Source organism: Homo sapiens, chromosome 9 (genome assembly GCF_000001405.40).
Source record: "Homo sapiens chromosome 9, GRCh38.p14 Primary Assembly".
NCBI lineage: Eukaryota > Metazoa > Chordata > Mammalia > Primates > Hominidae > Homo > Homo sapiens.
The window spans coordinates 90,375,608-90,389,938 of NC_000009.12; the positions used below are offsets into that span (position 1 = coordinate 90,375,608).

At 40.2% G+C, this 14,331-nt stretch overlaps 1 long non-coding RNA gene across 1 annotated transcript in view; it reads right to left on the reverse strand.

Moving 5' to 3' along the window:
• LINC01508 (long intergenic non-protein coding RNA 1508) overlaps positions 1-14,331 on the reverse strand; it is a 132,594-nt gene that overhangs the window by 74,712 nt on the left and 43,551 nt on the right. Inside the window, exon 2 of the long non-coding RNA NR_109795.1 lies at positions 7,913-8,114. This is a non-coding gene — a long non-coding RNA (long intergenic non-protein coding RNA 1508). The remainder of the gene's footprint in view (positions 1-7,912; positions 8,115-14,331) is intronic.

Genomic DNA, 14,331 nt, shown 5'->3' on the forward strand with positions numbered 1-14,331 from the left:
AACTAAATCTAAAGCAAACAAAATGAAGACAATAATAAAGATTAGAGTGGAAAGTAATAAAATTGAAATGAGGAAATAGTAGAAAAAACCAATGACAAGTTCAACACATTTGGCAAACCTTTAGCAATAATGATCAAGGGAAAAAGAAAAAAGACGGCCGGGCGCGGTGGCTCACGCCTGTAATCCCAGCACTTTGGGAGGCCGAGGCGGGCGGATCACGAGGTCAGGAGATCGAGACCATCCTGGCTAACACGGTGAAACCCCGTCTCTATTAAAAATACAAAAAATTAGCCGGGCGTGGTAGCGGGCGCCTGTAGTCCCAGCTACTCGGGGAGGCTGAGGCAGGAGAATGGCGTGAACCCGGGAGGCGGAGCTTGCAGTGAGCCGAGATCGCGCCACTGCACTCCAGCCTGGGCGACAGAGCGAGACTCCGTCTCAAAAAAAAAAAAAAAAAAAAAGAAAAAGAAAAAAGACTCAAATTACTAAAATTAGGAACAAAAGAAGGGACATTATATTGACTTTATGGAAGTAAAAGAATTATAAGAAAATACTATGAAAAATCAATGACAACAAATTAGATAACACAGATGCCTTACACAAATTCCTAGAAACATACAAACTACCAAAACCAACTCAGTAAGAACCATAACATGTAAAGAGATTGAATTTGTAATTTTTAAACTTCCTACAAAGAAAAGCCCAGTCTAAGACGAATTTACTGATGAATTCTACCAAGCACTTAAAAAATGATTAGTACCAATTTTTTTTTTTTTTTTTTACAAAATCTTCTAAAACATAAGAGGTGGAAACACTTTCTAACTCATTGTTTGAGACCAGTATTATTTAGATAGAAAATCAAATGGAGACCTCACAAGAGAACAAAACTATAGCCTAATGTATTTTACGAATACAGACAAAAATTCTCCAGAAATAATTTTAAATAGAATCCAACAACATACACCGTGGCCACATGGAATTAATCCTAGGAATGTCAGACGAATTTAACATTCAGAAATCAATTAACTGAATAAAGAACAAAAACTACATGATCATCCCAACAGACAAAGAAACAGCACTTTAAAACATCCAACACCTTTTCTTGATAAGACTTTACACAACAAATTAAGAATTCAAGGGAACTTTTTCCACCTTAAAAAGGGCATCAATGAAAAACTCACAACTAACATTATATTTAATGGTGAAAGATGGAAGGATTTCCTACTAAGGTTAAAAACAAGGCAGTGCTGTCCACTCTTGGCACTTCTATGCAATACTGCCCTGATACACACATTTCACACCAACACTAACAAAATCCCAGCTGGAGTCTTTGCAGAAATTGACAAGATCTATCCTCAAATTTATATGGAAATCCAAGGGATCTGGAATAGCCAATACAATCTTGAAAAAAGAACAAATGTGGAAAACTCATACTTCCAAATTTCAAAACCTGTTACAAAGCTACAGAAATCAAAGTGCTTACCTGCATAACACCAGTGGATTTTTTCAGAACAAAGACCTGTCAGTGTTCTTCCTCAGGTGTTATCCATGCAACGATTTTTCAACTAAAGACTTGCAAATGGACATATCATATGGTGAAATTACACTGTGTGTTTATTCACATAAGCATCTTCTCTCAGTGCTGAATATAAGCACATATTTAGAATAAAATTTTTAAAAATTCTTGCTTCAAATTGTACCAGTTTCAACTCACAATTCTTAAATACATAGAGAACTAAACTTTGCCTTGCCAGTTGCCTTTTTAATTATCTACAATGGTTTCCAAATGAGAGTCTACAGGCCAAAATTGGCCTACAGCCTGTTCTTGTACAGCCATTGAGCAAAGAATGTTTTTACAAGTTTAAAGGGTAAAGAAGTAGAAGAAAACAGAGAAGAAGAAAAAAAAAGAGAAGGAGAAAAAGCAGAAATATAATAATTATAAGCAGCCACGAACATATATGCCCTCAAATCCTAAAATGCTTATTTTCGCGCTTTACACAAAACACTTGTCAACTCCTGATGTACACTTGGAGCTATAATCGCTGGTGTAAAATGATTGCAAAGAGAGCTCACCTTTCTTTCCTATATTTATGCTCTTTACAAAGTGAATTTGTAACTCTTCCATCAAGAAGTAGACTCTATTTCCCAAGCCCTTACATTTGGCTGTCCTCGTGCTTTTTATTTTTATTTTTTTAGCCCATAGAATGTGGTGCAATAATGGCATGCCTGTTCTAAGCCTGCACTTGAAGAGGTTTTGCACATTTTGGCTCCTTTTCTTGCATCTCATAAGAACAAGCCTGGGCTAGCCTGCTGGAAGGTAAGAAAAGGAGAGTTGAGACCCCAGCCTGTTTAAAAATGAACCCCAAACACACAACAGAGTCTAAGCCATTTCAGCAGACCCACCCTCTACCCAATTTACCAGACCCACAGCTAACTACCCAAGTAGCTCCATAGCAGAGGAACTACTCCGCTGCCCATAACCCCATGGCCAATCATAAAAATATATTGTTTCACACCTTATAAATTTTGAGATGGTTCATTGTGCAACAAAATCTAATTGACACACAACTATGAAATGATAAAAGGGATTAAATACTGCACACTCTGTATTTTCATAATTGTTCTTGATCAGCATCTTTCAGCAAGCTAGGTACAAGCAAGATGTTTGCAGCAACCTAAATTTCTGCATTTGAGATAATCAGATTCTTTCAACTCAGGGTTTAGATTCCTGCAATTTAGTGGGCCGGGCACAGTGGCTCACGCCTGTAATCCCAGCACTTTGTTAGGCCAAGGCAGGTGGATCTCTTGGGGTCAGGAGTTCAGGACCAGCCTGGCCAACCTGATGAAACCCGTCTCTTCTGAAAATACAAAATTAGCCGGGCATGGTGGTGCACACCTGTAATCCCAGCTACTTGGGAGGCTGAGACAGGAGAATAGCTTGAATCCAGGAGGCAGAAGTTGCACTGAGCCAAGATCGTGCCACTGAACTCCAGTCTGGGCAACAGAACGAGGCTCCATGTCAAAAAAAATAAAATTCCCTCAATTTAATCTCCACGTTAGTCCCACTAGCATGTATTTTTGTAACCTAGGAAACCTGGGATGAATCACAAGTCTAGGCACAAGGCTTCTAGCACAAGGTGAGTATTTCTTGATGCCCAGCTGTCCCTGTTTCAGGCCTCTGCTCAAATGTCCCCTTTGGCTCTCTCTTTACCATGTTGGGAAGGAGATCTTCCTCTATCAGTTTAGACCCCAGTGGTCAGGAGCCTGTGAATTAAATGGCAATGAACAGATTGACAGCAGAAAAGACAAAATTTCTCTGCACACATGTAGCAGCACACCAAAGAAGTACATCTCTGAACAGCTAGGGACTGTGGCTTACATAGGAGCTTGACTGAAGAAGGGAGGGCAGAGAGGGTTAGGGAAAGAATGGAAGGTTCTGATGAGGTTTGCTGACACCAACACCATTGACTTGAAATGTCATGATGTTAAAGGACTCATTTGTCTCCCTGACTGGAAACCCTGGTTTCGGGCTTTATGGCAGCTGAATTCTCTGGAGTCTCCGCTCTAGTCTGACAGGAGAAGTTCAGTTAAGATCTCTTTCTACATCTGCTGTAATCGTTGTTAGTCCCTTCAACAACACGTTATGAATTGTGCCCCCCACAAATCAATGTTGAAGTCCTAACCCCTAGTACTTCAGAATGCGACTTTATTTGAAAATAGGGTCATTTCAGATATAATTTGTTTAAATGAGGTGGTATTGTAAGGGGGGCCCCTAATCCAATGTAACTGGAGTCATTATTAGAACACAGCCAAGTGAAGACAGACACACTCAGAGACTGCCCTGTGACCAGGAAGGCAGAATACCGCCACGCAACTGCGAGCCAGGACCACCAAAGCATGGCTGGCCGGCCACCAGAAGCTAGGAGGAGGCAAGGAAGCTTTCAGAGGAAGCACAGCCCTGCCAGCACCTTGATTTCAGACTTGCAGTTTCCAGAACTGTGAGACAATACATTTTTGTTGCTTTAAGCCAGCCAGTTTTTGGACCTTATTATGGCAGCCACCCCCCTGCAGCATGTCATCCTGGGTGTGCCTGGTTGGTGGTCGTGACTCAAATGTAAGCTCTGATTGAGGATGGGGCTCTTTGGGTAACACACAGGACAGAGCCTGGCTCATCACAAAATGGCAAATGCTGTGGAACATGTATTAAGCACCATGCTCTACCTCAAAGCACTACATGTATTAAATCATCAATTTGCACAACACTCTGCCACCCCCGAGAAAAGTACCATTTTAATCCCCATTTTCATGGAGGATTAGACTGAGGACTTAGGTGGCTTGTTTACAGTCACATAGCCAGTAAAGGGGCAAAGCTGGGATTCAAACCCAGCAGTCAGATAGTGGAGCCCTGGCGAGCAAGGAGATGAACGGGGCTCTCAGGCACACTCCCCTTTCCCTGATGCTCACAGCCACTCTTCATATCTCCAGTCTTTGGTGGCCCCTGTGCCGTCATCAGAATCTGCCCCTTTTGAGTGATTTTTCATTATTCGGCAGCTCTCTTCATTTCCATCTTATTACAGGCTGGACCAGGACTCATCTCCTAGGAGACAGTAAGTGATTCTGTCCGGTTTATCATTGCTTTATACACTTCAGATACTTTTTTTCATGTCATGTTATTGAATTTTGGGTGTCCCTAAAGTTGGACATTTATCTACAGAATGTGGCAGGCTTTTTGTATATCCACCCATTTGTTATAATCCCCCAAATAAGAAGTTTTATTAAGTTTTTACCTTATCTCCTCTATTTAAACTATTTTTGCTAGACATGCTGAAGGATGTCCCAAATTTATGACCAAAAGGATCATCTTACTAATCTACCTCTGCTGTGGGGAAAGGGCTCCAGCAGATATTTCCCACCTTCCAACTTCCCCACCCCCAGCTGATGGGACAGAGCCTAGGACTCTTAATGGCTAGCAAAGTCAGTGTTCCAGAGAATTCTACCAGATTCATACTTGCAGAGGATGAATTATACAGAATTATTAACCCACTTCTGCCTCCTTCATTCCAGGATTTCACGACAAAAAAAAAAAAAGTAGAAAGGAAGGAAGAAATGTCATAATTAATTGAACTTTTTTTTTTTTTTTTGAGATGGAGTCTCACTTTGTCGCCCAGGCTGGAGTGCAGTGGCGTGACCTCAGCTCACTGCAACCTCTGCCTCCCGGGTTCAAGTGATTCTCCTGCCTCAGCCTCCCGAGCAGCTGGGACAACAGGCGCATGCCACCACACCCAGCTAATTGTTTGTAATTTTAGTACAGACGGGGTTTCACCATGTTAGCCAGGATGGTCTCGATCTCCTGACCTTGTGATCCATCTGCTTTGGCCTCCCAAAGTGTTGGGATTACAGGCATGAGCCACTGCACCTGGCCTAAACTTTTTATTTGAGATAATTTTAGATGTCCAGAGCAGTTGCAAAAATAGTAAGGAGAGTGGCCATGGCCAAGAGAAAAGATCAGTGAATTCTCTCCCCAAAAAGCGAATATAAGGTGAAAAAAATCTTCAATAACCACCATTTGTTGCTCTGGAAATTGGTGAACTACTCAATTTTGAATAAGATCAGTGGTGATGTGTGGCATTCTGGCCTGGGGGACTCAGCCCCGGATCAGTCACTATGGAGATTCTGCTAGGACTGGGCTCTCTGTCTTCTGCCATGATGGAAGGAAGTCCACTTGACGTGGAGCAGCAGTGATGCCCACTGCCAAGGTGTCCTCTGGGGAAGGGACTTTGGAGAGGTTGGGGGCAAGTGGGAGTCTAACTTTTGTCTCTATGAGCCTGAGTTTGTGGTCATGGTTGGGAAGCACATATTCCTGGTTCAGGCTGCACATGTATGCAGTGAAGAACAGAGGGCTCAGTTTATATACACTCTCCTGGCTGACCCTGGGGCTACACATGTGTACACAGGAGACTCTCTGGGGCCCCATGAAAAGCCAAAGCCTGGCGACTTGAAAATGACCTGATCTCTGATCCATGAGCAGGGGATAGAAGCCTTGTTGGCTGAAAGTATTTGAGCAATAGACTACTAAGCTAGGCTGACACAGGTACAAACCCTAGGAAGTAAGTATGAAAACAAAAATTCAAGAACAGCAACAAAAAGCACTTAAGCTGAATTATCAATGGCTGCACATCACAGAAGACAAGTTATTTTGACCCAGTCTTTGATTTAGTAATCAAAGACTTCAGAGTAACTATTATAAATACATTCATAGCATTGAAGTTATTCAAGTTTAAAGAATTAATGTATGATAACAATGAATTAACAAATCGAGAGTCTCGATAAACATATACAAATTATAAAAAAGAACCAAATGGAAATTTTGGAGTTGACAAGTAAATTAACCTGAAATGAAGTTTCCTACAGAGGGGACTTCACAGCAATTTGAGATGGCAGATGAAGTAATCAGTAAATTTAGAGACAGATTAATAGAAAGTATCCAATATGAAGAGCACAGAGAAAGAAAAATTGAAAGTAAAAATAAACATTGTCTCAAACACCTATAGAAATATACCCAGTATACCCACATAAGCATATGAGAGTCCCAGAAAAAGGACTCTAAGAGGAGGAAAAGTTATTTGAAGAAATAATGGCTGAAGACTTCACAAATTTGATGAATGAATTAATCTACACATACAGGAAGCTCCATTAACTGCAGCCAGAAAAAGCTGTATAAGAAAGACTACAGACATAGTGCAGTGGCTCATGCCTGTAATCCTAGCACTTTGGGAGGCTGAGGTAGGAGGATCATTTGAGCCCAGGAGTTCAAGACTAGCCTGGGCAACATAGTAAGACCCCCATCTCTAAAAAAATTAAAAATGAAAAATAAAAATTAGCCAGACATGGAGGCATGTGCCTGTAGTCCCAGCTACTCAGGAGGCTCAAGTGGGTAGATCACTTGACCCCCAGAATTGGAGACTGCAGTGAGCCAGGATTGCACCATTGTACTCCAGACTGGGCAACAGAGAGAGATTCTGTCTCAGAAAAAAAAAAAAGGAAGGAAAGAAGGAAGACTACTTATTAGACATTCCATTTATATGAAATATCTATAACAGTCAAATTTATATATAAAGAAAGCAGATCAGTGTCTGCACGGGACTGGGTGTGGAAGCAGAAAATGACTGCAAATGAGCAGGGGCCACTTTCAGAGTGAGGGAATGCCTCAAACTGGACTGTGATGATGACTAAACAACTTAAAGTAACTAAAGTCACTGAATTGCACACTTACAATGGATAATTTTTTATATGAAAATTGTTTAAATACATTAGCTAGGCAAAACTCATGTATTACACACACATACACAAGATACATTATAGCTTTGCACCATCTCACAGAAATGTCCTCATTGGAACACAGTAAAGATATGATATAACACCGTGGAAAGAACGCTGAACTTGGAATCCTAATGTGTGGACCAATCTACATGTTCTACTATTTACTATGTATAACATTGGCTAACTCACTTTTCCTCTCTGAACCAATTTTTGTACGAAAAAGTGAAAATTAAATAAGAGTATACATGAAGTATCTAAAACAGTGGGTGAACCAGTTAATGCTCAATATACTGATATTTGTTTGCCTTTATGTTTGTCACTGTGGTCGCTCTCTGTGGGCACCAAGCATAGGAGAAAAAAAGTAGCAGAATATAGAGTTGCTGCAAAATGTTTGTTTGACAAGTAGAAGGCAGACGAGCCAGGTGAGATTAAGTTGTCTCAAACTGATTCAAGCCATCAGAACACAGACCAAACCCCAACCAAGATCAACAGCTTGAGTGTGGCCATGATCTGCAAGGCTCCAAGGCCACTCCCTCTACAAGCATAGAATATGAAAGTGGTGGTAGGCAACAAATGCCACTCCACACTCTTTTACCTGTCCATGGCATCCTTCATCTCTCCAGTGGCTTCCTCTCTTCCTCTGGGAAAGCATGCTCCTCATTCTGCTGCTCACACTCATCCCTGATTAGACACCCCATACCTGTGTCGCTGCGAGCTTTCGTCCATGCATCTGCAGTGCACTGCCCTAGCCACTCTGCTCCTCTTTCCTGGTGTCTCCTTTGCCTGATCATAAGCCCCTGTAAAGCAGAGAGAGACCATATTTTACTGTGCTCTGTGTATTCAGGACCTAGTGCTGTGTCTGGCATATTATGAGAATTCACTAAAAGTACATAATTATCTAAACGGAACTGAAAAGCACAGAGATGAAGGATTTTATAGATGAGATTGTTCAAGGTCATGGAGGCCACAAGTAGCAACAAATCATGGAATACATAGAAAAGGAATTCAGAGGTAAATTGGCATTTTCTGAACAACAATTCATTGATGCTTTGTCCCAGGCACTTTCCATTACATTATTTATTTTTTAAGACAACTCATTGAGAGAGGTATTATTTTCACTATTTCAAGAACTCACAGAAATTGTATTTGTCTATGTATGGTGAACTCTCTAGGAAGTGTTAAAGCCAGGATTTGTCCCCAGAATTCTCTGATGTCTCAACCAATCCCTGCCATTACATGCATCCAGAGTCCACAAATAATCAATGCCCATTTTGTGTGAGGTGCAGTTCTATGCTGTGCCTTCCTTGAGGAAGGATGAATAGATGGCAGATGAGCCAGGTGAGATTAAGTTGTCCCAAACTGATTCAAGTCATCACAACACAGACCAAACCCCAACCAATATAGACAGTGTGAATGTGGCCATGATCTGCAAGGCTCCAAGGCAACTCCCTCTATGGTGCAGAGAAGCTGTGACCCACTGTGCCTCCCAGTTATCTTTCTCAGCAAGTCCTTTGGACACTTTCCTGTCCCTGATACTGTATTGTTAATAGTCTCTGCATCACAAATCTGAAGAGAATGGAATCACATAGAAGCCACCTGTGTAACAATCCCCACATCCAACACCCTTTTAATTCCATTCCCCTTTCTCCTAATTTAGGATATGACCCCCTGCATAGGCTATTGTTTCCAACCCCTCCCAAAGTCCTCTTTGCCCAAGTTACCTCTCCCAGTGAACAAGGCACAGGCTCCTCAGGTTTTCCTAAGGCATTGCCTGAAACTTTGAAACGTGTCATTCTCATCAGTGATCCCCAAAGACTCCTTAGTTTTACACTCCATACAACCTCTCTCCTACAAGCCTCTCTTACACGACCTTGCCTGCCCTTCAAGAACACATTTTTCTAAGGAAGCACCAGCCCCATGGAAATCCCCCTCATGACTCAGTCAGTAATGATCTTGTCCTCATCAGAATTCATAAGCTTCTCATCTATATGGATACAATGAAATTTCTGCTTTTCGAGAGCATCTGGTGTGTTGTGATATGCTTATTGTGTTATTATTTGAGTACTGAATTCAATGTTTGCGTGCACGTACCTTTTTCTATCTTCCTGCAGATGAAGGTCTCCGATGTTACCCACAATGAGTAGCAGGAGGCCATGCAGACAACAGGCAGCCAGATAAATAGGAGGAGAGACAGCACTGAATGCGCTCAATCACTAATTAATCTCTTTCCCTTTAAACGGTATTTTCATATTCTAGAGGAGCAGCTTTTTTCTCCAATCTCTCTAGGCTCCTGCCTCACGCCACAAAATAGGATTTTGTAGTCACTCACAAGTAGAGGGGAGTCAGGATCTGCTTTTCTCTCAGTAGCTCCTTATTTCTCTTGACAGGAGATTAACACGTGGTGATGGGATCAGAATCTCTGGCCTTGCCAGCCACTTCATGAAGATCACAAGACATACGGGTCTTTGATCTGCTATTGCTGAACGTGGCCTGCTCACTAAGCAGGTCACCTCTGCCCTGTAAGTTTAATTCAGGTGAGAAATGGAAACAATCTCATTTTTGTATTGGATCCAAGAAGAATTCGCCAACTCAGCCTTATCAGCAATGAAGGAGATATTTTAATCTCTGACATTTGCACCGTTTGTCAACTTGTTGGAATCTGGGTGGAGGGAGAAGTGAATAAGGAACCGTTAGGCATGATGTAGAATCTTCTCAAACATCTTGATTACTGTAGGATAATTAGACATTGTCTCAAAATACTTGCAATGATATTTGTGTTTAAAATTTGGAATTATATGATTCCTCCTCAGCATAAGCTACCACCTGAATAGCTATTTTTGTACTTGTGTTAGAAGAAACGATTTTCCATTCTAATATGCAACAGACCCAGAATTTCCACTTCTGCATCCTAACTAATCACAAAGTGTCACTGCTAATTGCACAGACTCAGCTCCTCATGTGGACACAATCTAGTCCACGTATGTTGGCAGACTCCGCATTAGCTGGCTTTTGTCATACTCATGACAGAGCGGAAATAACATGGGTGTAAATTAAAGAAATGCCCTTTCCAAGACACATCTCACTTTAAAATCCCTCCATCTCTAACACAAAGCTTGTGAACTTTCCAAAGCGGGCCCATACACAGTTGCTGTTGCATGAAGGAGCACATTATATTATATCAGAGCTTTGTTTCTTTAGTAGAAGAAACAGAGAATCCATTCCATCTGTGGAATGGGAACAATAAAATAAACTTTTCATATATTTTTGTGAGATTTTAAAGTAAAACACAACACTTTGCCTTCCTAGCAAACTGTACACATTAAATAAATAATGGTTGTCTTCTCTGCTGCTGGTTTGCTGTTTTTGTTGTTACGTAATCCTTTCAGAAAGCCATCCTCTTTGACAACTTTCACATTGACTGGACTCATTCATGAGTTTGTTCACATAAAATTATTCCCTAACACTAGTCATAACAATGACAAAGAATCCATCAATGCAGAATTATTTTAATCATCAGAAAACAGTGGAAACTCTCCTTGTTCTTAATTTTATCTTTGAATCACAGCTGTTACTAATAACTCATACTTGTTACAATCATGTGTTTTTATCATCAACCTCATTGTATGACAGAAGAATCATAGCTATCAAGAAAATCATTAAAGCAGGAGAGAACAGTCTTGATGGAGCCACATGGCAAACAGTGACATAGTGCCCAGAGGACCAGAGGTAGTAGTACACGGAGCACCGCAGGGTAGACTTGGGCAAGGGGGCCGGCACCAAGCAGCTTGCTGGCTGCATTTGCTCCTCCTCCTGGCTTCAACACGAGTGGAAGGAGGCCCCATGGAGCAGGCATGGCTGGTCAGAGACCTGGGTTCTGCTTACAGCTCTTCCCTCCCACCTGAGATGCTAGGCAAGTCAACGCTCCCACTGAAGCCTGTATCCACCACCCACACTCCCTTAAAGGGCTGCAGTTGGTTTCATGGTGGATAATATAAAACTGCCCTGAAAGAGATCAGGATGGCACCAATATAATCACTCCATATTGACACTGGCCCTGTCAGAGCCCCAATTTCCAGGAATGTAGAAGGTTGGGCCCAGGTGGCTCTGGGAACACCGGACAGCCAGAGCTCAGGGGCCAGCTGGGGGCGACAATTTTGAGAAAAATTCATTAATATGAATTATCAGTAATTCCCAGAAAATCATTTCCGCATAAAGGAGAAAAGGAAACTTAAATGGATGCTCTCTGCCAGGTTTTAAATAGTGCTGCTCTTGAATTGTGTAGATTCTGTGGCGTTCCAGTAAAATCATTTTCAGGAAAGTTGCAGCAGGATTCTTTCGAACCAAGAGTGATGTGGAGCCTTTTCAAAAAATAAATAAAAGCCACAATTGAAGTGGTGATGTTAGCCACTTTGTCTCTTATTTTGCTGGGAATATGTCTAATGTTTGCCTATCAAGACAAAGCTATTGGCAAGCTTCTTTAAAATGTACCTTTCTGATACCAGCATGATAACTGTTAGTCACGAAGGCATGTAGAATTTTACCAACTGTTTTTGCAAATCTGTAGCAACTCACGTGGCTTTTAAAAAAAACTCTTGAGTGGAGTTAGGGGTGGTGTGACAACCGAAAAAGACTCTGACACCATAGCCTCAGCCCTCCTGCAGCAAGAACCAGCCAATGCTTTGCCATATTGTCCCCATCTCTCATCAGGAAATGCCCCCCGCCACAAGTTTCTTTCTTGTATTACATCTGAAACTTTTACTACGTTTACTATTTTGCATTAACATAATTTCTATTACTCATGTGTTATTATTCACTTTTTTCTTACATCTGAGTTAATTTTGACAGCACATCTTCTTCAAAACCATTAGTTTTATGCAGACTTGCCAGTTATTCCTGTAGCGTTATACAAAAAAACCTTATTGCTTTTTATTAGGTAGGTGCAAAAGTAACTGTGGTTTTTGCCATTACTTTCAATGTAATAAAACTATTACATTTTGTATCAACCTAATAATCCTATTATTGCTGCATATTAATATATGACCGTTATTATTTCTGAAGTGTGGTTTTTCTTTCATTTTAAATGGCTTGTCAAAGGTTTTCGCTCCTTGATTATTTCAAGCAATATAAATAACCAAAATACAAGTAACTTCGTATTTTTAAATAAAATTACCACTATTTTCTATACGATTTCATCATTTTGGGTCTTCATCTATATGAAGTTTTTATTCTACTTTTTTCTGTTTATTTTATTTTGGATTTCTTCTCTTTGGTTCTGTTTATTCTTAGAGGATCATGGTGCTCCTGGCCTAGGTCCCCAGTGCAGCTGAGACCTGCTGGGGATGAAGAATGGCTGGAGACGCTGCCACTTCTGGCCAGAAAAATATAGATAATGACATCTAAATCGTAAACAGGTATACTAAATAGCAGCTTAGATATCTCTGAAGGGAGAAGTGGTGGAATAAAAATACAACAGTCTGAACTACGTGAGGTTCATCACAGAGACAACAAAGAAAAAAAGAAGAAAGGGTAGGAGGTAAGGAGGATAAAATGAGAAAATACAACATAACTCTAATTAAGAAAAAAACAGTATTTTAAGCAATAGTATCTGAGAATGTTCCAGAACTAATAACATGAATCCTTGCTTTTAAAAAGGTATGTCAAGCCCCAAACAGAATAAATAATACTAAGTCCATACCTAGATATATTGAAGCAAAACTGTAGAACATCAAAATGAATGAGCCAATTATGTACAAAGGCCATTAACTGGACAGACAGCTGACTGCCTTTTCAACAACAATGGAGGAAAATTTCAGTAGTTCAAAAATCTTTAAATTGCTGAGGAAAATAACTGTTAGCCTAGAATTTAAAAACAGCAAGAGAAAAAAAAAAGAACATTTTCAGACATACAAAGACTTAAGAGGAATATGGAAAAAGTTGAGCACATAGTAGAGAGTAGAACAGTGCTTACCAGAAGCTGGGGTTATTAGCAGGGAGCAGAGGATGGGGAGATGTTGGTCAAAGGATATAGGATCACAGATAGGAGGAATACATTTCAACAGATAGGCTGTACCACAAGGTGACTAAAGTTAATGATGATATAATGTATGCCTGAAAAATGTGAAGAAAGTGGATGTCATGTGCTGTCACCAAAAACATAATAACCGTGTGTGGTAATGTATTTGTTGATGATGAGATTAAACCATTCCACAATGTATATACATGCTTCAAAGCATCATGTTGTACATGATAAAAATGTACAATGTTATCTGTCGATTTTTTTAAAAGTGCAAGGGTAACCTAGATACGGAACAATCAGACTATTCTAGAATAAGAGGTGACTTCTGGTTTAATGCTTACTGGGTAAACTATGGAATGCGCAGGAAAAAAGACTTTATCCAAAAGAAGATAAGGAAAAAGAAAACAAACAAACAATGCAACGTGGAAGAGGAAAAAGGATATTAAAAGAAAACCCACCATACATGATAGTTAATTTGGGGTATATTGGAATCACCATAAATAGAAATGCACTCAAGGTCATCTATTAAAAGACAGAAAGCATCTTACTGGATATATTAAGCGTAGCTATAAGCTGATTGAAGGAGCCCTGTTATATATACACACAGAGAAAAAAAATAATAAAGTGGTGGAATAAAAAATACTATATCAGTATTGACCAAAAAACCAGTATGGTAATGTTAATAACAGACAAAATAGATTTTATGTCAAAAAGCAATAACAATCACTACATATTAATACATGGAAAAATCCGCCCAGTATCCATGTTAGTCACATTTATATGCACTTAATATTTACAACCTTTAAATACATACAGCAAAACCTGCCAGAAATTTAAGGAGAAATGGACCAACCCACAATCATAATAGGAGATTTTTAATGGACTAATTTCAGAAATGGGTAGAAAAATCAGAATACACTGGAAATACTATAGACTGTTGGGATAGCAAAATCGATAAGTTTGGTTTGATGAAAATGTACATCACAAAGTACTCTAAT